Source organism: Homo sapiens, chromosome 4 (genome assembly GCF_000001405.40).
Source record: "Homo sapiens chromosome 4, GRCh38.p14 Primary Assembly".
Taxonomy (NCBI): Eukaryota; Metazoa; Chordata; class Mammalia; order Primates; family Hominidae; genus Homo; species Homo sapiens.
In genome coordinates this window covers 53,629,130-53,655,001 of record NC_000004.12, presented here as the reverse complement: position 1 = coordinate 53,655,001, position 25,872 = coordinate 53,629,130, and the positions used below count along the sequence as shown (strand labels likewise).

The 25,872-nt window shown below is 42.7% G+C and overlaps 1 protein-coding gene across 1 annotated transcript in view; it reads left to right on the top strand.

Annotated features, from left to right (window-relative positions):
• Window positions 1-2,524: 2,524 nt before the first annotated feature.
• LNX1 (ligand of numb-protein X 1) overlaps window positions 2,525-25,872 on the top strand; it is a 193,177-nt gene continuing 169,829 nt past the window's right edge. The window contains exon 1 of the mRNA XM_005265785.6: window positions 2,525-2,834. The gene's annotated coding sequence lies outside the window, so the exon portion shown is untranslated. The remainder of the gene's footprint in view (window positions 2,835-25,872) is intronic.

Genomic DNA, 25,872 nt, shown 5'->3' with positions numbered 1-25,872 from the left:
TGTCATTTCACATTTCTGAGATTTAATGTCCCTTTAATGCATTCCCAAAATGCACCAATAATGAGGAAGTTTTCTCTGCATGTAACTGGGTATGATATTTGTGACTTTTCTGGGACACTAAAAATGAGCCATTCTCCCCTTTACGGTGAAGCTATGTTTGCTTCATAATGACAAGGATTTTAATTACAGTTGGACATTTCTGCTGAGTTGGAGCCTCTCTCCTTAAAATCCCACACCAAATGGAAGTGACACTCTAAAGCCATGGCGTTTGAGCAGACTCAGGTCTCCATGCTGTAGGCTGCCAGGGAATGAGTAATCCTGGCTTTGGAAAGGGCACACTTGTAAAGCTAAATTAATATGCCTGCTTTTCATTCATGACTTCTCTTTGTTTCCAGTTTTAAACTGTTAGCTGCCTTGGTTACATGACCATGCAAAAAAGCAGGTTTGGGAGGTATGTGTGTGTGTTGGCAATCTCGGAATGGACTCAATTCTTGGAACCAAATCAATCAGTGCTAATCCGGTTGCTCGCAGATGAGAAAGGAGAAATAAAATCCCCACCTACCTTACCTTTCTGAATGGAAAACCCCATGCTTATGACAGTCCCCAAATCTGCCATCATTGTTTCCTGTTGGTGAAAAGCCACGAAGCAGATGAGGAGCTTGAAAGTCTCTATTACATCAGCTCCTTTCCAACATTTTGGTTTTTTATTTCATGTGATAAGGTTGAAAAGGCCAATTTGACTGTTATAAATTACCTTTCCTCATCAAAGAACTCCAAGACCAGAGTCCATAAACATATCTAAAAACTGCACTTAGTTATAAACCTCTGGGAGAAAAAATGAAATGATAAGTAAAAGCCTAGACTTTTTTCTCTTTGTTACCATAACTCCAGTAAATAAGTCTTCAGTCTCTGTTAAGAACAAAAAGCTGACCAACCTCAAGTGTAAAGGCTCATGCAGCCTTAGGGCAAAATACCCCCAAAGCGTCGCCAAACAAATCCAAGGGTGACAAGAATGTGCAACTGCCCTGATGTCACAACTCTTATGTTTATGAGAACAGACAACTTGGGCCCACTGGAGGGCATCCTTTTGTCTCCTAATTAACTGTTTTACTTTTGTTTGACCAGATGCCAGCTGCCCTGGGTAACCGCCATGACACAAGAGAGCTAACTGCTAGCAATTAAAAATAAAGATTAGGGGTAGAACCAAAAAGAGTCAGAAGTGTGACCTTAGGACTGAAAATACATGTGCTGACTTCATCTCACCAGGCAGAAGTTTCCAGGCTGCTAATTTTGCCTCATTCACTCGGTGGATTATTGATTAAAAGAAACTTGTAGCAGCTGGCTCTGAAAGTCAAAAGGACAAAGTGGCAATCAGGCCATGACCAAAATGCACACAGAGGCCAAGGGATTTGCAGTGTACTTCCTTGTTTGTAAATCAGAGTCACAGTGGAGAGCTGAAGGCACCGCAGCCAGCGGCACCACCTGTGATTAGGCAGCCACAAGTACCTGGACTCTATGTGTCTTTCTTGCATGTTGCATATACATAAGATAACATCCAGCACCCGACTCACATCTCTGGAAAGAGACTACTTAATTCACTAATTATTCATGTTTCCACTTAGAATCTGATTCCCAGAGCTAATCGCTTATTTAAGTAAAATCTTTGGCCATTGCTGGAGCTGTCAGCCCACAGAAGTGCTTAAGCAAACCAGTGGGAAAAGCAAAACTCAGAAAAGCACACTTCCAGAAGTGCAACGTTTACATTTTTAACTAGCTGGGTCACTTTGCAGGAATGACTTAGTCTCTGTAATGCTCAGTTTCTTTATCTATATAATGGGAGTGATAATTATAGGATTCTGTGGAGAATTAAATAAAATAATGCAGGTCAGGTAATTACTACAGAACCTGGTAGACGGTAAGCACTTAATAAATGTTAGCAAAGATGCTGCAGCCACTGACGATGATGATGATGGTGATGCTGAAGAATGAGCAGAAGAAATCCTTATTTAAACAATAATTCTATATCTTTAGAGTTAAGAGTCTTAAATAGTATCAGCCACAAACTTGCTCATTCTTTTTCTTCGTCTACAAACATTAGCCAGTGTTCAGTTATGAGCAATACTGCCAATAGAAAATCTTTGAAAGTTTTGGCAAGGTATTGGAACAAGTCAGAAGTACTTATTTGCCTGATATAGATTTTGGTGCATGCCCCTTTACATATTCAAAAATAAAAGATGCCAAGGATTATAGGACCTGTCCAGTCAGTAGCCCCTGCCTATTTAGGAGCTGGTCCCAGCATGATAATGTTCCAGACCTAATGATGGCCTGAAGGTGTGGTGACCCTGTGTTTATTTCCTTGTTGATTTCCCTTCTCTGGCTCCAAGATCATTTTCCCATTGCCTGCAGGAAACAACATCTAGGGGCGAGGTAGGCCTGACTTGGCAACCCTAAAGGTGAACAAAAGGACCTTGGCTTTTGGCAAGAGCAGAAGGAAGTTCAGGGGCGTCTCAGCCCCATCCAAACCAGAAGAGATTTGTCACTGATGCTAATGCATGCTGCTCTGCAGGGGACCACTCTCCCTCGAAGCTCCCCATAGCTGCTCTCAGTTTTATGGATCTGCTCTACTCAAAGCCTTGCAGAAGGGGCAGGGGATGCCCAGGTTAACCCCCGCACGTACAAAGGTGGAGCAGTTTTCATGCATAGCTGGGACGAAGAACACTGGAAAGAGAAAGAAAAATTTTCCGAGCTACTGCTAAGCCAGAAAAGCTCAGCTCTCAAACGGACTATCTCCTGAGACGTCACACAGCTGGGAACTGATCCGCAATACAGCAAAGGTAAGATGGCCCGGTTCCTCCACCAGGTAGAATCTCATACAATTTAAAAAAAAACTTCACCTCTGCCCACTCAGCCTCCAGCTCTCACCCCTATCTCTTTCTCTGTCTCTCTCTCTCTCTCTCTCTCTCTCTCTCTCTCTCTCTCTCACACACACACATCAAATTGAGGAGAGTCTAAAAGATGGAAATATCTAGGTATCTTTTTCAAAACACTAGAAAGGCCTCAGGGCATTTGCGCTCTTTATACCCTATTTTTTTCTGCAGTGGCCTTCATTAAAAGCTTCTTTACTTTCACAAATGAAAATGACTTGCCAGACAGGTCAGTAAAAATGTAAGTATTCCCACTAACAGTAACTGGGTTTATGTGACATTATTCTTTATCGTCATTTAAAACACATTCACACACAGACTTTGTTTCATTCCACAGTAGGAGTAGGTGTTGCATTGCAGTTTTACCCATGGATAAAGAGGTTGAGAGAAGCTGTGACCTGCTCACGGGTGTGTAGGGTTGTGGGTGACCAGCAGCACATCCTGTCTCCATTCCCATCTCTTTTCAGTAGAATGGTGACCCTACTCTTTAAACAAAATTCCAGAGTACATTCTTGGCCACGTATTCTGACAAATGTTCTGATGAGAGGATGGAATTTTAGAAATTGGAACTCTCCTGGAAAATCCAGAAATAGATAGCCACAGTATCCTGTACAATATACCACCTTGTCATGTATTCCTGTTTACTTCCATTCCTGGGCATTGAATTCACTTCAACAAATGTCGATAAACTATGTTCCCTGCTCCAACACTGACTGGTCATGTGTCAGGGCGTGGTGCAAGTCCGGTGCCCAAGGAATGCTGACGCAGTGCAGAGCAGGATGGGGGTGGGGCTCCCCTAAAGAGGTGAGCTTCAAACGAGCTCAACATAAAGTGTGGACTTGGATTGAGGGAGAGCATTCAGATACACAAGTCCCCCAGGAGGAATTTGTTGAGTGAACATTTGCTTACACCAAGTCCATGTGGCAGAGCCGAGGGGAGAGGAGCATAGCCTGAGGAATTAGACTGTCTGTTCTTGATTCTTGGTTCTACTTCCTACTAGCTCTGCATTTTGGGGTACCTCAGTTAACACCTCTAACTTCACCTTGCCAATATGTAAAATGAGAATGATGGTAATACATCCCTCATAGCGTTGTCTTCAGCTGTAAATGAGATTATGCATGTGAAGTCTTTCCTGGTGCATAACAACTGCACAATAAATATTAATACTAACTATTGTGATGACCATGTGCCTGGCTCCAAGGGAGATGCAGGGAATACAGATAAGAGGAGGCCTACCCTCAGTGTAATGAAAACCTCATGAGTTAGTTGTGTGCAACTAATGACATGAGGTGTGATGCATGCTCTGGAACCATGAGGGTGGAATCCTTTAAGTCTGTGTGAGTTAGGGTTGAGGTTCTTGGGGGGACACGGAAGGGGACAGAGGTTTCACAGCAGAGGCCCTATATGTAGGGCGGTAGTATAGAACGGTGAAAAGAGCTAGACAGATCTAATTTTGAATCCCAGCTTCCTCCTCTATTTACGTATCTATTTATTTCTATGTTAATCTATATGTATAGAAAACCATAAATTCATACTTCCAATTCCAATCCAACACCACAGAGTTTTCTCCCTTTCCACATTTGTAACTCCCTTCTCTGACATTCATCAGAAGCCGGCTCCCATTATCCTTAATATATTATTTGCTTATTTGCTCAGTCCCCCAAATGTCATCAACTGCCATCATGACCACTGTCCCCTGCCCATGCAGATGCCCTCCGCACCCTGCTTAGGCCCTGACACTTTGTTCTGGGCTGCCCTGAGCTGGCTCCTGGAATTCTGGAGCTACCGTATGTCCTCCACACCCCGCACAGGTGCCTACTTTGCTCAGCCCTATGTAATGTATTTAAGGACTGTGACACGCGCTATGCATTTGTGTATGTACCTGTGTTGTCACTGTCTTTGATGGGGGACAAAGCTGTCTCCTCCATACAGGCAGGGCACGTGTCCTCAGCATCAGGCCTGAAGAAGCCAGGCTCATTCCATTCATTCTATTCCACTCGGTCTGCTCATCTATATGGATGTGGGCTGCTCACTCTCTGCTCAGGGTAGTAAAAACATTTCCAGGGTGAAAACTACTATTTGGGCAGTCCCTGCTCCTTTTTCTTCTCTGTCAAGTCCTTGTCTAGGTTCTCCATTATTCATTTACTCAACAACAGATACAAAGCGCTTACGAGGTTCCAGGTGCTTGGCTAGGGTGGAACATAGAGATTTAAAACCTTAGTCACCACCCTCAAGGAACTCCCAGTCCACTGTGGGAAGCAGACAAGCAATAAATTTCAATTCCATGTGGCCAAGTACAATGAGACCCTACACAGCCTGCCATCGGAGGGCACCTAGCCCAGACTGGGTGGGCACAGAGGAGATGCCCAAGGGGAATCCTAAATGGGCAGAGATTAACAAGGTAAAGACTGACTAGAAGGGGAGTAAAGGGAGTGGTGTGCAGGAAGGATGAAATACTGTAACTGATAGAGAATATCAGGAGCTACCTCAGGGTGGCTAGTGCAGGGCCAGAGGCAAGAGGAGGAGCTGTCCAGACAGGTGCAGGCTGTGGAGATGAGCCAGTGGTGCTGGATTGTAGACTTCAGGACAAGAGCTCTGGAGCCAGACTTCCGGAGTTCAAATCCTGGTTCTGTGACCTAAGATTTGTTGATCTATAGCTGTTGAATCTTCTGCAAGTTACTATTCTCTGTCTTGGTTTCCTTCACTGTAAAACTAGAGATTGTAATAGTAGTCGCCTTGTGGGATTGACATGTAAATTAAATTCTTTTACATAGTGTACACAAAAATGCATAGCATATGGAAAACAATAATAACAAAGCTGTTATTTTCCAGTAGGTGGATCAAAAAGGGGTTAGGGCACTGGTGAAGCAGAAGCACCCCAAAATATAATGAATTAATTAAAAGACAGAAATTTAAACAAATAGATTTTGGCATTGTAAAAGAAACTCTGAAGTTGTTATCTTGAGTAAAATCAGAACCTTTTGGATTCATTTTATGCCTTACTGTTGCTTATCTTTTGATATATTTTGGGTTACAGGCACCATAATTTTTTTATCGTTTCAGCCTCCAAAGGTCCCAGCATTGCCCTGCATGCTAAGGAGACCTCCTCTCTTCTATTGGTTTTTCATTCACCATGATCTGTTAGGAGTGGCCATTATACACACTCAGTGGGTTTCAGGGCAATAGTGATTGTCATGATTGTCCTGACAACCCCAAAGCTGGAGGGAAATTCAATTATCACTAAAGCAATTCTGCACCATGAATGTGTTCAGGGGGATGGAAGGGCAGGACTGAGGGAGTTTTTGAAACTGTTCTGAAAGTCTATTTGCCATAGGACTTAGTGGCCTTTCTCCAGTGGCCTTTCAGCCCCCATTGTTGGAGCTGTGAGGCAGTTCTCCTTCCCCCACAGTCCACCTCCCTTAGAGCCAGAGGAGACAAAAGTGGAAGCACAGAAATGCCAATGATATATCAAAATAAAAAATGTCTGGGCACCAAAGGACACAAACAACAGAGTAAAAAGACAGGCCACAGAATGAGAGAAAACATTGGCAAATCATCTATCTGAGAAGGGGTTAATATCCAGAATATGTAAAGAACCCCTACAGTTCAACAACAACAAAAAACAACCCAATTCAAATGGACAAATGACTTGCATGGACATTTCTCCAAAGAAGATATATAAATGGCTAATAAGCACAGGAAAAGATCCTCATCACTAATGGTTAGGAAAAAGCAAATCAAAAACCACAATGAGATACCACCTCCCACCCATTAGCATGGCTACTATCAAGTTAAAAAAAATTCCAAAATAACCAATGTTGTGAAGGCCATGGAGAAATTGGAATGCTTGTGCACTGTTGATGGAAATGTAGACTGATACAGCTATTGTGTAACATGGTATGGTGGTTCACCAAAAAATGAAAAATAGAATTGTCAATGACCCAGCAATTCAATTTCTTGGTATATACCCAAAAGAATTGAAAGTAGGGACTCAAACATATATTTGTACTCCCATATTTATGGCAGCATTATTCACAATAGCCCAAAGGTACATGCAACCCAAGTGTCCAGTGAATGGATAACAAAATGTAGTATACACATACAATGGGATAAATTCAGCCTTAAAAAGGAAGGAAATTCCGGCACATGCCACATCATGGTTGAAACTTGAGGATGTTATATTGAATGAAATAAAGCCAGTTTCAGAAGGACAAATACGATATAATTCCACTTACATGCGGTACTTACAGTAGTCAAATTCATAGAGACAGAAAGTTGAATGGCAGTTGCCGGGGGCTGAGGGAAAGGGAGAATGGAGAGTTACTGTTTAATGGGTGACGAGTTTCAGTTTTGCAAGATCTAGAGATGGATGGTGGTGATGGTTATGCAACAATGTGAATGCACTTAACACTACTGAACTGTACTCTTAAAAATTGTTAAGATGGCAAGTTTCATGTTATGTGTATTTTACCATAAGTAAAAAATGCCAATGAATCCTGGCTTTTTTTTCTTAGCAAAGTGGACCAGTGATTCTTGGGAAAATAGCAGACTTCTTCTCTGAGAAAATAAATATATACAGAAAAATATCTCTTGGTTAGAAATTGGTCATATTCTCCATCATTGGCTGAGACATTGTTAAATCACAAAGAACTGACAACTCTAGCAATTATAGAAAAAGAGAGGGAGAAAAAGAGAGAGAGAGATTGCTTCCTAAAACAAATAAGATTAATATTATACTATGCAGAAATAAAAGAGACACTCTGCATTATGCTTAATTATTCATTGTGTGTGTGTTTGTGTATGCACATTACTAAAACATTTAGGACTGCAGTTCTTGACAGGTGGCAGGTGAGCCAAAGGTTGTATGTGAAAGGATTGTCAGAAACATGCACACAGATAGTCTAGTTCTGCACACAAAATTTAGAGAAACAGACCCAGTGTGAGGCTGCATGTGAATTAGAGGTCACAGCCTCTGTCAGATGAAGCATCCACCTAACCTCTGGTGCTGGGACAGGAAAAAGAGAAAAAATGGAGCATGGAGAACCTTTCCATCCTCTTTCCTGAATGCCTGGCCAGGAGGCCAGCTCTGGCTGCCGGGACACTTCCTGCCTTTTACAGCTTCCTCCACTTCTAAACACACAGGTTCATTTCAACTCCCGGGCAAAGGGGTGGGAGTGGTTTATTTACTCATGTTAAATTGGAACAATAATGAAATAATAGTGAAAAATTAACAGTGGGTGGCAATGCTTTGTAAAACGTGAAACAGATGTCTGTTTTCATTTATTTATATACCACTTTATTCTACAAAGAAACTGTGGTTGCTCCAACTGGAGAATAGAAAGTAGAACAATGGCCCCACATTAGCATGGCTCATTTCTGGCCAGCATAGTGTTTTTAATTTTTTATATTAGCTACTAAACATCTAACAATCAGGAGATTTCATATAAAAATTCAAATTTCAAGTTCTTTTAAAACATAGGAAACTCTGGCCATGTTGGTCCTATATTTGTTCATTCACTCAGCAAAAAATGTAGATTGGGTGACAATTCTGTGCCAGGCACTGTTCTGGATGCTGGGAATATAGCAGAGGTGAGACTGATAATAACCAAGTAGACAGATAAGTAAGATAATTACAGGAAATTGTAAGTGCTATGAATACAGCAGGGTTAGAGGATATGAATAAAGCAGAGTTAGAGGATAGAGACTGAGAATGGGGTGGGGGAGCCATGTTAGTTTAGCAGAGTGGCCAGGGAAGAGCTCTCTCCATTTGCCACAGTCCCCACCATGCCCTATTACTCCACTCCGGTCATTTACCAATACCTGCCTGGCAATTGGAGGCATCTCAGAGTTGGAGCTCTGCCATAAAATCATGGGAAATATAAACAAGAATTTAAATCAAGAACAAGGGAAATATGAGAATAGGATGATAAGACCAATAGAAATACAAACCAGGTATGGATGTCATAAGAGCCTTCATGACTGGTATAGTTGGGCATCAGATTCAACTGAGCTTCCTGGCAACCAAAGCAAAAGGGAAATATCCCCAATTACATCATTCTCATTTTTCAGAAAGGAATAAATAAAGCAATTCCTTTATAAGTACCAAGCTTTCCTCATCTGACTTGGAGTAGAAATTGAGTATATCAGCTTTATAAGAAAACTCTGAGTGAAATAGTAATCAGTATGAAATAGTAATCAATATCCTCACCAATGCATGCCCAGGAGTCTGGTATTTCATACGGTTTCAGATATTCATTCAAAACATCTTTATTGAGACACAGGTTCTACAGATGCCAACATGCCTGATATTTTTTTCTAGTGGCATACTTCACCTAAACTAAACTCAGGGAAGGTGGTCATGTGAGAGGCCAAGATAATGCAGTGTAGACCCCTTGTTCCTGCTGATCTCAATCCACAGAGTATTTGGGAGAATGAACAGAATGCCTCTCATTCAAACTATATTCCTCCCATAAAGCTCTTTTCTGAGCTGGTTAGAGAGAAAGTAAAGATTATAATTAACAGTTCTTTGCAACGTGCCTCAATGTCTGCCAATCCTATTACTCAGAAGGCAATTTCAGTGGCCCTTGCTCTTTGGGCTTGAGTAGGCAAATCCACCTTCCCTTTTCTGGAATAGACCCCATTGGGTAACCCCAATGGTAGTGCACACTGACAACTTAATGCTGAGAACAGCCCACAGCAGGGAAGGCAATGACCAAATATCTTCATTCACCCTCTGCACAAGAGGGCTCTGCCAAACTCCAGGCTGGTGACCAAAGGCCAGGAAATCTAGCCTGTCTTCTAGAATGTTCCTGGGGAGCTCTGTCATGGCTCCAGCCTCCCGAGAGTTCCCTTGCCAAAGGAGCCCTTCCTCTGGATTCTTAATTTGTGTAAGGGCCACCGTGTATCCCGGAGTGTTTTTAGGTTACACTCCTGCCCCAGGAGAAAAACACAGGCAAAAATAGAGTTAAGCCAAACTTTCTGTTCTTTTTTGGCGTGGACACTGCCTGGCTGTGCCCTTATCACCTGGATCATCTTTTGGCTGTCTGGAGATTTCCTGGGCTCACTCTCCTGCTGTTGGCAAGAATTGAGGAGTTAGGTCTCAGGGCTGGGGCTAAGGTACTACTTCTCCCTCACTCTGTTGAAAACTGAGAAGCGCATTTTGACTGTGCTACTTGTAATCCTTACCCAGACTTCCTCCTCCCTGTTACCACATCTCTCCCTTACTCTGACTAAATATGCCCTTTGAGCCAACCTCACCAAACTGGTTCTCTGGGTTGGTAATAACGACCTTCCAGATATACTCTGAGCTCCCTCCAGCAGGAACCTCCCAGTCTCTGCCTGGCCATCTGGCAAGGAGGCCCTGCTGGTGCTGGGGTAACCTACCCAACCTGGGACACTATCCAAGTCACCTGACATGGAATCCCGCTCCCTCCTGGAATAGGACAGCCTATGAGTTCCCAGGTATTTGCTATGAGAGTCCCAGCTAGTGGTGTGTTTTCTGATAAACTTCATTGTGTAAATTTCTTATCATGGACTGCAAACTAACATATAGCATATGTCAACACAGGTACATAAATACTTCAATATATAATACATCAGTCTAGCTTAAGTCACTTTACATTTATTTCTTGTTTTGGGGTTTTGTTTGTTTTGTTTTTGTTTGTTCGTTTTGTTTTGAGATAGACTCTCACTCTGTTGCCCAGGCTGGAGTGCAGTGGCGTGATCTCGGCTCACTGCAACCCTCCACCTCCTGGGTTCAAGCGATTTTCGTGCCTCAGCCTCCCAAGTAGCTAGGGCTACAGGAGCATGCCACCATAACCATCTAATTTTTGTATTTTTAGTAGAGACAGAGTTTCATCATGCTGGCCAGGCTGGTCTCAAACTCCTGGCCTCAAGTGATTCACTCACCTCCCCATCCCAAAGTGCTAGGATGGATTACAGACATGAGCCACCGTTCCTGACCTCCATTTACTTTTTTTTATCACTAGAATGAAGTACAAAACATAGTAAGTGCAGTCTACCCACGGGGTTTTGCTTTTGAGGAGCAGGGATTATTATTAATAAGACTTTTAGAGTAAATAATTTTGTAGACTAATAAAAATGTACACCAACTGTGGCTGAGTGGCTAGAGAACACAGCTGGCAAGGTGCTTTGTGTCAGGTCATGCTCCATTCATGAAATAATAATAATCACTGTCACTTACTGAATTCTTCCCATGTGCTAGGCCCCAACAAACTTTTTACATGGTTTGACTTCTCTTGTTTAATTTTCATAATTCTGAAAAGTCCTATTGTTATTTCCATGTTTCAGGTGAAGAAACTGAGGTTCAAAGAGCTTTAGCAAGCTGCCCAAGGTTACCAGGCAGCAGGACCTGGGTTTGAAAACAGGTCTGTTACACTCCAAAGCTCTCAACAGGAGGGAGAAGGAAAATGAGGAGAAAGGGAAGAGAGAGGGCGAGAGGTCTTGGGCAGCTAGTTCTTCAGTCCCCTGAATTTTGTTACCCTATCTCTGTGTCTATATCACAGCCTTCTTGGATTAATGAACAAAGAACCCCTTTCTCAGACTACATCAGCCACCCTCTGTCCACTCTGCTTGACACCTGATTAGATCATAAAGACCAAGGTTTCTTGACCGGGATGGTGTCTCAGCCCTGTAATCCCAGCACTTTGGAAGGCCAAGGTGGGAGGATCACTTGAGCCCGGGAGTTTGAGATCAGCCTGGGCAACAGAGGGAGACCCTGTCTCTACAAAAAACTTAAAAATTAGCTGGCATGGTGGCATGCGTCTGTGGTCCCAGCTGCCCAGGAGACTGAGGTGGGAAGATTGCTTGAGCCTGGGAATTTGAGGCTGCAGTGAGCCATGATCGTGCCATTGCACTCCAGCTTGGGCAACAGAGCAAGATCCTGTCTTAAAAAAGAAAAAAAAAAGACCAAGATTTCTTGACTCAACAATACTAGCATTTGGGACTGAATAATTCTTTATTGTGGGCAGCTGCCTTGTGCATTGTAGAATGTTCAGCAACACCCTAGGCTCAACCTATTAAATGCCCATAGCACTCCCCAAGTTGTAACAACCAAAAATGTCTCCAGTCAATGTTAAGTGGCCTCTGGAGGGCAAAATCACCCCACACAGAGAACCATTACACTAGACACACCCAAAGGCAAAAGGAGACTAAAGTTACACCCAGGCGACCATAACGGTCCTCAGAGGGTGGGAGCTTCCATGCCATGGCTGGGAGGGATCTGGGGATTCTTCAAGTGGAGCGACCCCTCTCATGGTCATGGCACCATTCTGATCTCAAAGTAAGCAGAGACATCCAAGACTATAGTCAACCCAAAGGAAACCTCAGACCCCGCAGGCTTGCTGATTTTGGTGAGTAGAGCAAGGGATCTCTCCAAAAGGCCAGTGTTTGTGATTGGCCTTCCCAGTTCTGGCAGAAAATCTGTGTACACCCAGAAAATGCTCTTTCTTTCCAGAGCTATCTCTGTAGCATTGATTTGACCCCAAGCATATAAAGAATAACCGTGCCACATATGACTTTAGAGTGTACAGGGTATGTGGGAAGGGCCCCTAGCTGGTGCTGGCCCCTCAGGACCCATCACAAAGTGGTCAATGGCCAGGAGACCCTTTGTCCTAGGCCCCACATTGAGCTTCAAATTCAAAATCCTGATATCATTTCCAGTGTTACCTACATGTTGAATTTTTAATATGTTCAAAAGCATGTATACATTTTAAATATAGCATATTTTATAGGTCTATTTTGGGATTCCTTCTTTCATTTTTAATATCCCAAGAACTTCAAAAAGTGGAAATGGTCTGGGCCTGCTTTGACCTTTTTTTTTTTTTTTTTTTTTTAAGATAGGATTTTGCTCTGCATTGCCCAGGCTGGAGTGCAGTAATGTGATCATGGCTCACTGCAGCCTCAACCTTTTGAGCTCAAGCAATCCTCCCATCTTAGCCTCCCAAGTAGCTGGGATCACAGGCGTGTACCACCAAACCTGGCTGATGTTTTTATTTTTTGTAGAGATGAGTTCTCCACTATGTTGCCCAGACTGGTCTCTAACTCCTGGCCTCAAGCAATCCTCCTGTCTTGGTTTCATGGCAGGTTTCTTGGTAATAGCCTCAGACTGGAAACAACCCAAATGCCCATCAACAGGTGAATGAATAAACAGACTGTGCTGTGTCCACACAATGCAATACTAAGCAGAAAAAAAGGAATGAACTGTTGATACCTACAATATGAATAAATCCTGAAATTATCATACCAAGTGAAGTAAGCCAGACACCAAAAAGAATACACAATGTTTGATTTCATTTATATGGAGTTCTGGAATGTGCAAGCAGTCTAGTTATAGAAAGCAGATCAATACTTGCCTGGGGACCTGGTGAATGGGGAGTGAGAGGGAGAGATTACAAAGAGAAAGAAAATGAATTTGTTCCTTGATTGCAGTGATGATTTCATGGGCATATATGTATGCCAAAATTGATCAGATGCACAAAATTAAATATGTGCATTAGGTTGAACCCCTGGGTATTGTGGGGTGGGGAGAAACAGAGGCATGGTCGTTAGGTCCACCTGGGTATTTTGTCCATTTCTCTCGTCTTTGGCTGAGCACAGAGGTTGTAGCCATTCCTCTTCAGCACTGCCTGGATAATGTTACTAGAGTGAAGTGTGAGAAACTCATTAAAAATTCATCAGCTTATTGGTGGGTGAAAGCCCTGCTGTGGCACCCTCTCACTTTCTCTGAAGAGCGCCTCTTATCTGGGTAAGTCCCCTCTTGGGGCCAGAAGAGATTAGATCAGAATGCACTGGATATATTTGCATAGCTAGAAATCCCTCCTTCTTAGAGAGTAAAGGAGGTGCCCCCCCACCCCGCCCTTCCCCAGAACAGAGAAAGTGGCCAAGCAGCTTGGATCTCCTCCAGCATACCCAGGCCAAAAAACCATGCCACATTCCAGTGTTCATTGAGGAAATAAAATGCACACACACAAGCATACACACATAGAGCAGTAGCCTGTGCCGAGTCGCCTCCAAGGCTGGGGTCTGCAGGTGCAAGCTCCAATTAGCAGCCAGCCTTCCAATACCTTTTCATCCCAAACAACGGCCAGGCCTCAGCCCCGGCCAGGGATTGAGGAAGGCCCCGGAAGGACTGCCGACGAGACTGAGAAAAACAAAGACTGTCCAAATAAAAGTAGCTCATGTGAGTCGAACCTGAAACCCAGCTTCATTTTCAAAACCTCTTGTGAGAAATAGTCAATGCACAATTTTGTGAAAAATCAGTTACTGGTCACAGGAAAGAAACTGCCTTCAAAGGCCCTCCAGACCTAAGTCATCAGAGGCAGTTTTCTTTTGCAAACCAGCTAGGCACAGTATTTCTATAACAACACAGTCTTAATTGTTCCTACTGTTGACAACAATTCCCCTAAACTAATATATTTTGGGGGTTATGGATGTATTGTGGTTCTCCTGCAACTGGTGGCTCTTTATTGCTAATATCACATCAAGGCTTAAACAAAAGCACTTTTGATTCTTTATTTTTAGCAATGAAATGTATGTGTTTTCATATGCTTGCCAGTGCTCTATCCTAAGCAGAGAAGCACTAAGGCCATAGACTCACTTTCTTCATTCCTTCTCTCCCCCCATTTTTTTCTGTTTACTTTTTACTGAGAAGGCTACAGAGCTTATACAGAGGTCCATCCTTCCTCTGTAAGCATCTCGGCCTGTTCCACAGCTAAGGATGCTCTCCCAAAGAAAGACTTCTCTATCATTGTCTCCTTGTGGGCTCCCTGGTCTGCTTTTCCACCACTGCCATGCTCTGTTAGGCAGTGCTTCCTCGCCTTCCTGACAGTCGTTCTTGTTTTTAATACGTAAATCTACAAAGAAATGCCAACAATTGGAAATGGGAACAAAAGAATGTTAAAAACCTATACTCCCACCACCACTGTCATTCTATTTTTCTGTTTCCTTCCAGATCATCAGGCATACTTTTGTCTACTTGGTATATGTATATAAATAATTCTTTTTTATTTTTATTTTTTTTTGAGACAGAGTCTCACTCTGTTGCCCAGGCTGGAGTGCTGTTCAGTGGTGCAGTCTCAGCTCACTGCAACCTCTGCCTCTGGGTTCAAGCAATTTTTGTGCCTCAGCCTCCCAAGTAGCTGGGATTATAGGCATGCGCCAACATGCCTGGCTAATTTTTTTTATTTTTAGTAGAGACAGGGTTTCACCATGTTGCTCAGGCAGGTCTCAAATCCCTGACGTCAAGTGATCCACCCGCCTCGGCCTCCCAAAGTGCTGGGATTACAGGCATGAGCCACTACACCTGACCTAAATAACTCTTGATTATGCCTCTGACTTGGCTTCTCCACTGTGTTTGCAGTCATGAGATATGAACAGCTGGTAAGTGGGCGACAGAAGAAACAGCCCTTTTGATACTTTAGGACCCCAAAACAGTCCATTCTACTTAGCAAGAATGAAGTTGGGTTCCTGTGAGCCTTTGTTTGCACCATTTTCATCAGCCAATCAATAAATAACCTTGTTTAATGTACGTTTCTGTTTCAAGATGCCTTATTTTTTCTGGGATATTAACATTTTTAATTAAAGAAAATTTATTAGGAAGCAGATTTTAAATAAATATAAGGAAGAATTTTTTTTTAGGTTTGGGGTACAAATGATCCTGTCACCCAGGTACTGAGCATAGCACCCAATAGTTTTTCAATCCTTACCCCCACTCACTCCTCCCTGCTGTAGTAGTACCCAGTGCCTATTGTTGCCATCTTTATGTCCATGAGCACCCAATGTTTAGCTCCCACTTACAAGTGAGAACATGCAGTATTTGGTTTTCTGTTCCTGTGATAATTCAATGAGAAGAATGGCCTCCAGCTGCATGCATGTTGCTGCAAAGGACATGATTTTGTTCTTTTTCATGGATGCATAGTACTTCATGGTGTATATGTACCATATTTTCTTTATCCAATCACCATTGATTGGCACCTAGGTTGGTTCCATGTCTTTGTTATTGTGAATAGTGCAGCAGTGAACATGCAAGTATGTGTCTTTTTGGTAGAACAGTTTGTTTTCTTTTGGATATATATCTGTAATGGAATTGCTGGGTCAAATGTTAGTTCTGTTTCAAGTTCTCTGAGAAATCTCCAAACTGCTTTCCACAGTGGCTGAACTAATTTGCCTTCCCACCAATAGTGTATAAGTGTCCCCTTTTCTCTGCAACTTTGCTAACATCTGTTGTTTTTGGCTTTTTAGTAATAGCCATTCTGACTGGGGCACCTTATTTAATACACCAATTTTGAGCTCATGGCCAACAGCGCTATAACTCATGCCTGAATGATGCTTCTCTAACATAGATACTTCCTCTGTAAGGTACATCACAGTTTTCTGGAGCTTAGGAACATTTGGCAGCACTTCAGCATTATGCTTCGGGGCCATTTTTACAGCAAAATCACCAATGAAGAGCACAAAAATGAGGAAAAACGGGGCACTAAGTAGTCTGCAAAGAGAACACTTGCTGATAGTATGAAAGCTGACACAAGAAGCCAGAGCGTCACTGTTGGACCTCAGCTGGGAACACGTGCATCCCATGACTTAAAGTTTCGCTGCTTTGAGCATGCCCACAAATAACCACAAAAGCACCATGAGCATTGAGTTTGGGGTTACAATTCAATTTTATCAAGGAGGCAAATTCACAACTATGGAATCTGCAAATAATAAGGGTTGACCAATTGACTATACCTATATTGTACAGTCTTGCTAACTAGAATTGACTGTTCTGCATTATTAAAGTATCGAAAGGTCTATTTCTTCTGCTGTCAACTTACCAGCCATTCATCTCTCATGACTGCAAACCCAGCAGAGAAGCCAAGTCAGAGAAATAATCAAAAGTTATATATATGTAAACATATTAATTAGACACAAAATATGCCCAATGACAAGATCTGTACCTATATTGTATTAATGCAGTATATCATGATGACAGGAAGCAAGTGGTCATTCATATTTCCCTCTGAAACTAGTTTGTTGTTTCTTGTTAAAATGCCACCATCGTGGCTGCCATCTATCAGTGATAAATCATTTCTTCTAAAGTGGTAGTTTCAAGAATACACAGTGGGAGCCTTCTCTCTTGCTTCCAAGATCAACTTCAAAATCACTAGGTCTGGTTGGGTGGAGTCCATTGGGTTGAAGTTAGAAGGTGCGACTTTGAGTGGTGGTCTAATCTCCGTCAGCAGCCTAGTCTTTAACACAGCAGAAATTTCCTCATCTGCAAAAGGGAAAGTCCATATTTCATTAATTCTAAGACACTCCTTCTTTTACATTTTAATATCTCAGAAACTGGCTGTGTTTTGGTTTATGTAATTGATGGTGTGTTGTGGATTAATTGGCAGTATTCTGTTTTCTTTCTGGGTGGGCACAAAAAATAAGGTTGCACATTCTACCCTTTGGCATCTTAGAAGTGATGAAATTCTGTAGTAATGAAACAAGCCTACCTTACAGTGTCGTGGGGATTGAGCAATGCTACAACTTCACAGAGTTGTGAAAAAGTAAATAACATGTGAAATGACAGGTGTAGTGCAAAGCATTTGGAATTAAGGAATTATTATCATGACTGTATTTTCTTACTCCTAGAATCAGTGAATCTTTTACTTTTGACATTACTAAGGAACATCATAAGAGCTGCACCATGGACCCCTATGATTCTAATTAGATTTTTTTCAAGCAGTGGTTGGTACAAAGAGATTCATTTAGTGGGTCATAAAATCTTGTGTCATTGGAAAGAGATCCCCAAGAGTTTGAGAACTACAGCTGTGAAGAAAGTAAAACACAAGTTTCTTAGGGGCCAAGGCAGTCCTTTCTTGACCATGATGCTGCAATCATGATGTTGTGTTTTGGTCCAATTATTGGGATCCTCTTATACTTATGAGATTTTTTTTGCCAGTGCAAATTGGGTTTCCTCTCATCAAACTGCTTCTGTCTATGCTGTATGCTCTTAGCAGTAACAGGAGAGTGAAACAATTGAGGCGGTAATTCAGTCCTAAACTATTAATATAACCCAAGATTCTTCCATCTGTGTCATCCAAATCATCATCTCAGTTGCCATTTTTGCTTTCTTGGGGAGGGAGGGAGGGAACCTGCGGTCTGCATACAAGATAAGTGTATAACACCTTCACTCCAAACAGATGTTTTAAACTACAGAACATGACCCTGTATCCTTGTTCACATTTGTTTGCTTTTTGATGTAAAGGGAGAATATGAATCCAAGAAATTTCACTGGAGTCTAAATATGGACATAGGATGGAATCAGCTAATTGGGTGTGTAAGATGAAAAGGGAGCTGAGGGTTTGCTCCCTGATAGGAAAATGTGGAGGCTGCTTTATCTGCTGTCCTATTGCCAAATTACTATCAAAGTAAGTGAATAAATGGAAGTGGGTAGAAACCCAGGGTCTATCAGGCTGCTTCTATGTGCTGGTCATTTTGTATAACTGTTTTGACACACCACAATATGGGCATTATCATCTCCATTTTATGGTTCAAGGACCTGATACTTGAAGGTGAAATGATTTGCTTAAGGTCACTCAAGCCCTTCTGCCTCAGAGCCCTCCTTTTTCTACTCTGAGGGACAAGAATGTCTCACCAGAGTCCCAAAGATGCCTCACAGTTCCTCTGCCAGCATTTCTCCTGTGATCTTCTCTGAAGGGCTTTTCAACCCTGGCCACTTTATCCTCATTGTGTTCTTCTTACCACAGTGATGTGTGGAAGGAGGTGCATGCTAATTTTTTCAAGACAATGAAGTTTTGTTTTTGCTCGACCGAGGCAAGCATGCATCCATCCCTCTTTCACCACCACTCCTTCTCCCCTGAAAAGGAAAAAAAAAAAAAAAAAAAAAAAAGGAGTAATAGATGTGCAGTCTCTGAGATCCCTCTTTGATTTCCACTCTGAATTGCAGGCATTGTCCTCAGTAGTTATTATTTTTGGAGTGCCGACCAATAAAGTTCAGCATCTCCTTCATGTAAATGTAGCACTGCAACACAGAGATTTTAACTGACCTGCCCAAGGTCACACAGGAATTAGCAAAGGGGCCAGAAGTGGAGCCTAATGCTTCTAATTCCCCATCACTGGCCGTATCAGCCCACACTGCTATTTTATGCACACTTAGTAAATATTTACAGCTTGAAATACCTTCCCAGCTGCAGTTAGGACAAGAAGTACTCTCATATATTTGTATTCATTTGTAAAACAGATGTGAGAAAACATAAACTTGAATTACTGGGCACAGTCTCTCTGATATTAAAAGCACTAGGTTAAAACCTGGGAGTGCCGAGATTATAGGCTAATATTTTGTCCTTTTCAATCTCTTGGTTGTTTCTTCCTGTTTTGTATATAAAATGGCTTGTTTTTCATGAGTTGCATAGAATCATTAAACTGATTTAATTGATCAAATCATACCCTTACTTCCCAATAGACATTTTTTACATTAAAGCATAAAACAGAGCTAATAACAGATTAGTCCTATTTTTCTTTATAATAATATTAAAATAATTGCAATATATTAATACCAAATGGACTCATTCTATTCTAATTATAAATATTCATTAGTATAAAATACTTGAGGAAAAAGAACATCAATCTAAATGAAAATTTATATTTTCAAAATGTGATTCTTTTAAACTTTGTAGTGAGTTACGTGAGACAACCCTAATTCAAATTAATTAAAGGAAGAGGAATTTTGTTGGCTCACAAAACAGGCACATCCGGAAGGGGGGATCTAGTTCAAACAACGTCAGTGCTTTCCTTCTCTCTCCACATCTGGCCTCTGCACTATTCAGCTTTGGAGTCTAATGGTATCATTCTGCCCATCCTCACCCCATGTGACAAGAAAGATAAGAGGTGTGGGAGCGGGGGCTTATCTGAACTGCTTGTTTTCAAAAAGGCAGAGAGGGGCTGGGCACCATGGCTCATGCGTGCTATTCCAGCACTTTGGAAGACTGAGGCAGGAGGATTGCTTGAGCCCAGAAGTTTGAGACCAGCCTGGGCAACATAGTGAGACTTCTTGCGTACAAAAAATAAATCTAAAAATTAGCTGTATATGGTAGTGTGCACCTGTAGTCCCAGCAACATGGGAAGCTGAGGCAGGAGGATCAATTAAGCCCATGCAGTGAGCTACGATCCCATGATTGCACTCCAGCCTGGGTGACAGAGTGAGACCCTGTCTCTCTTAAAAAAATAATAATAATAAAAAATTAAAAAAGAAAAAAAAACAGAGAGGGCTACTTCCCAGGACAAACATGCCAGGGAAGACTCCTGATTGACTTAGTAAACCGCCACCCCTCGGAGCAGTCCCTGTGATCAGAGAGAAATGGACTACATTCAACTGTGAGGCTGGGTCATGTGCCCACCCTTCCTGCATGAGAGGTAGTAAGTAGGTTGGCCAATTCCCCACTGTGATTGTAGCTCCACCAGTAGAGATGGTACTCCCAGAGGAAAGGGAGTACTCATGCAAGAAGAAGAATAGAAAACCGAGCTGAGCCTGGGGGCGGTGGCTCACACCTGTAATCCCAGCACTTTGGGAGGCTGAGGTGGGCAGATTGCCTGAGCTCAGGAGTTCGAGACCAGCCTGGCCAACATGGTGAAACCCCGTCTCTACTAAAATACAAAAAGTTAGCCAGGTCTGGCAGCGTGCACCTGTAGTCCCAGCTACTCGGGAGACTGAGGCAGGAGAATTGCTTGAACCTAGGAGGTGGAGGGTGCAATGAGCTGAGATCCTGCCACTGTACTCCAGCCTGGGTGACAGAGACTCCATCTCAAAAAAAAAAAAAGCCAAGCTGGACAGATAAAAACATGTTAATTATCTCAGCCCATTCCACTGGGCTTGTGAAAATCATAATTACAATAAAAATCCAATTGAGCAGGTGGTATTGGGTGCACAAGGCTAATGTGTGACTTTGAGATTTCCTGTCTTCTTCATTGTAGAGCATTATTATGGAGTACATGATTTATCGCATACTTCCTGCCCTATTGAGCTGATTTGCAATGGTTTCAGAGTGTTATTAACAAGAATATTAGTAACAAAATGCATTGTTTTCCATCAGCTTCTGCACTGGGTGTGGGTGCTTTCCAGATCATATTTTAGGAACTCTAGGAGACCCTTTGTGAAGTAGCTGGCACACATTTCACTGTCGGGCTTTTCTGGTGATGCAGAAACACGGCCCTAAGAAGGTTATGCAATCTCCCCAAAGTCCCACAGCTGGTTTGTGGCTGAGGCTGTAAACTCTCATCTTAGTGCCTGACTGTGGCAATCAGCTCTCTTCTGGGCCACCACTTGGCCCAGAGGAGGAAGATGGATGAGGGCGCTCATGTCAAACACTAGCCTAATCCATTTTTAATGGCCTTTATTTTCATCTCGTGAGGAAAATAGCATAGCCTTCCCTGGCTAAACACTAGTTCAGGAAAAGCCACAAACCAGCCCCCTGAGTCTTGTTTACAAAAATGAACCCAACCTAACTCTGCCTAGCTGGCAAAAACTGATAAACTCATGGCAGCTTCCCTGGCCATAGCCCACGGAACAAGGATCAGTATTTCTGAGTATTGTCATGCATTTTTCTTAGTTTATCATGGCCAGAAGAAGTGAAAAACACTGTAAAAAATGAGATGAAGAAATCCTGGGAAGAAGCAATAATATGAGGAAGATATAAAAAGGAGAAGAGAAAGAGAATAGAGACTAAGAAAGTTATTGTGCATGGGGGACCAAAGAGGATAGTGCAGAACCATGCGTGGATGGGGGTGGTAGCCAAGTTCCAGCAGGCAAGGGAAGCTGCCATTACTGAATCCCTGTTATGTGCCATAGGTTTTCACATCCATTTTCTCATCAAATTTAATGTGATCATCACAATATCCTTGCAAGGGATGTGTGGCCATCCTGCATTATATAGAGAGGGCAATAGAGGATCATAGAGTCCATATAACTTGATGGATTTAAGCAGCTAAAAAGTGATGATGTTGGGGCTGAACCCAGACATTTCCGATCCCAAAGTTTATGTTCTTTCCACCCCGAACTCCCCACCACTCACACACTAATGATGTCTTGTCTTAGGACAGGTTGTCTAGAAGTAGAACCTACAAAAGGATTCTTGTACATAGGATATATCTTGAGGAAGTGTAATCAGGAGGAGGGGAGTAAGAAAGAAACCTACTAAAGAAGACCTGGAGAAACAAATGATTCCTGAAAATCTAGTTCCACTTTACATTTGATAGGAAATGTGACCAAGTTGCTGTTCCTTGTCTGTTGTCCATAGAGGCCTCTTTTCCTCTTCCTAGGATACAGATCCCAATATAATTCCAAATCTCCCTAACCTGATATGGTTCCCCATGGCATAGTTTAAAAATCCTCAAGCCAGTGTTTTTTCAAACCAGGGAAGTGTTCTTAGCAGGAGGGCAGCAAGATAGAGCAGGGAAAATTCCAAGCAAAGATACAGCCTCAACTACCTAGCTTTAGCCTGATCCGACAGGGAACATGAATTGCACCCCAGAATTCATCCTGCCATGAGGCAAAGGAGCTGGACTTTTGTACCCTAGTCAGTCGATCATTGTCTGACTGACCCTCTTGGCTGAAGCAAGAGTGTAGGGGGTAACATCTCAAGGGAGCAGCTATTTAGCAGAAGGCAGGTGTCTGAGAAGGGAGGCAGCCATAAGCCATCAGCAGCCACACTCTCAGAAGCTAGGAGATGGGAGTCTGGGCAAGGCAACAGCAGCCACTGCACATTCTGCTGTCAGCTTCCCACTGTGAGAGAAAAGGGAGGATGGGAGCCCAGAAGAGAAAGTACCACTGTCCTGGTGGTCCCTGAAAACCCCACTCTAAGTGCTGATGTCAGTTCCAAAGACCTGGCCACCGCAGCGGCCAGCCTCAGGCAGTGGACCTCATGCTGGGGGAGGTCTCCTCATAATGCAGCCCTAGGTCTGCCCTTGGTACCATTCTGCTCCCTTCAATGACCCACCTCCCTCCACTCCAGGTCAAGATTCAATGGATTAGAAGAACCAGCGGACCCAGGAGCTTTGGCCGCTCCTTCTCCACATTCATACATTAATCCCCAACTCTTTCTCCACTCTCCTTTCTTTGCTTTTCTTCAGCAGATTTTACTTAAAATTTTCAAACATCTAACAACTATAGAATTACACCGAGTCAAGGATTCTCAAGGACTTAAAAAAAAAAAGGCTCAGGCTCCACCTCCAAAGAGACTCTGAATTGATTAGCTTGGGATTTCTTTCATGTCCCTGGGGTGACTGTTTGCAGCCAGGTTTGAGAATCACTGAAACAAGCCTTCCTCAGTCACTTTGGGCCTACATATTAGAATCACCTAGGGCATTAAAAAAATATATCCATGCTTGGGTCTCATACCCTGGAAATTCTGATCGATGGTCTTAAGTTGTGGTCTGACATCAGGGACTTCTTAAGTCTCTCGGATACTTGTAATGTGTAGCCAACATGAAAAACCACTGGCTTGAGGATTTTTTAAACTATGCCATGGGGAGGCATATCAAGTTAGGGAGATTTGGAATTATATTGGGATCAGTGTCCTAGGAAGAGGAAAAGAGGCCTCTATGGATAATAGGCAAGGAACAGCCAACTTGGTCACATTTCCTATCAAATGTAAAGTGGAACTAGATTTTCAGGAATCATTTGTTTCTTCAGGTCTTCTTTAGCAGGTCTCTTTCTGCTGAAGGCCCACAGGGAAGTTCCCTTCTTCTGCCAGAAATAGTGGGTGGAAAAGGGTGTTTCGTTGTACCTGAAATTAAGCCCAGAATTAATTTACTCAGTCCAAAGAGTCCAGGCTCCTGCATTATCCCACCCCACTCCCGATCCTTCACTCTCACCAGGTAGTGGGGAAGACAAACTGTCTCCCCCTGGGTACTAAAACTGTCTCCAAGTAGCTGCATCCCTTAACTCCATGGGCGACTTCCTCCTCCTCTATCCCTCACACACACTTCTCTATATTGACCCAGCGGTCCATAGAACTGTACTTTTGGCCCAGGAGCACTTACTGCAAGGTTCTGGCTCATTTCCCCTGTTGGTTTACCTGACCGGCTTGCCCAGGTTGACCTCTGCAACCAGGTAAGCCCTGATCCACCCTGGTGGATGGTTCCCATGCCCTATCCTAGTTCCCCTTCCCAAATTCTAAAAGCTGATGCAATTGTTTCTTGATATTTGAGGTAACTTAGTTCTTTAAAATCACTGCAAACACTGAATTAGCAAATTCTGAATCATTGCTCCTAGAGGAACTACCACGTTAGCTTCCTATGATCCTCTGGTGACAACATTTTTATCAGCCAATCAATACATAAGCTGTTTTATATGTGTTCCTATTTAAATACACCGCATCTAATATATGTTGTTGGTTCACTAACATCAAACTCATAGCCAATAGCACTGTGATGCGTGCCTGAAGGAAGTTTCTGTAATGCATGTATTTTCTCTGGAAGCTACATCACAGCCTTCTTGCACTTAGGAACACCAGGCGGCACTTCAGCACCATGCTTGGGGCCATTTTAAACAGCAAAATCACCAAGAAAAAGCACAAAAATAAGAAAAAAGTGGCACTAGTAGACAGCAAAAAGGACACTTACATCCAGTATGAGGGCTGAAACAAGAAGGTCACCTTGTCTGAACTCTGCTGGTAATGTGTGTGTCCTTTCACTCCAATTTTTGCTGCTCTGAGTATGTCCACAAATGACTGTGAAAACACCGTGAATCCTGATCTGGGGGTTACAAAAAAATTTTAGCAAGTAGCTAAATTCATAACTATGAAATCCACAAATAATAGGCTCGACTGTATAAATACCCAATTCTGAGTAACAAAACATTTTAATGACTTGCTGTTAATTTGAAAGTCCCTGTTTTAAGCAGGAGCTCCTGGAATACTCTCTAGCACAGGGTAAAGGGAAAACTTACATGGTTGTTATTCCCACCCGCATGCCCCCCCCACCTTTTTTTAATGAAGAAACTATTTTCATGGGAAAATACTCATGTTTTCAACATGATTAAGTGTCTTCTTTTTTGCTGGACCAGTAAAACTTAGTAGAAAATATTAGTATAGGTACAAGGTGGAGATTTTGGCTTTTCAATGGAACAGTGTTTTGGAGGAATGAGAAGAATTGATGTATTGTTGTCTTTATTGTGCATACATATAGAGGATAAAGCAGCATCACTCATTTTAAAAATCAAACCAAGGCGTACCTGCAATATTTTTTAAAAATAAAACCAAACAGAAGGGCTCTATCCAAGTCAGGGGTGTTGGCCTCCACATTTTCCAGGTGACATCAGCTGGGAAGAGCTGCAGTCCATCCACCCTACCACCTCTGATTACCCTAAAAATTGAACAAACACAGAGCAGGAGTGTCTTTTTTCCCATCCTCCAGGTCTGAGCCTGTCCCTTACCTCCCATTCAACTCTGTTGCTTCATCCATGGCCAAATGGCTTTGCCACTGGTTTCGAGCAGCTTTGGGCAGGGCTGCAGTTTGTGGTGCAGACAAGCCATTTGGAAGGCAGACTGCATCTTTTACAACATACTTTCTCTCCAGGTCCTGGGATGAACCCAAGCTTTGGCAGGGCCTGGGACATTTTGAAAAGAATGGGCCAAAGCAAGGACAGAAAGATCCAGGGTGAGCTCTTAGCACTGCAAGTCTGCCTCTTTGCCAGAGTCAGCCTAAACCTGGTCTGTTTCTTGGTGGTTGGGGCCTTGCAGCCATTATTCTGGTTTCTGCTGGGGACAGTTTCCAGTTCCTGGATGCACCCAGGGGTGGCTGGAGACAGGGAGGAGGGACCTTTAGCCACCCCTCTATTTCGGTAGCCCCCTAATCAATCCAGACAAACATTCTAAACCTGTATATTTGCCGTGGACAGTGTCTCAAGAAGAGACTTTTTGTTTGTGGTCTGTTTTTCACATTT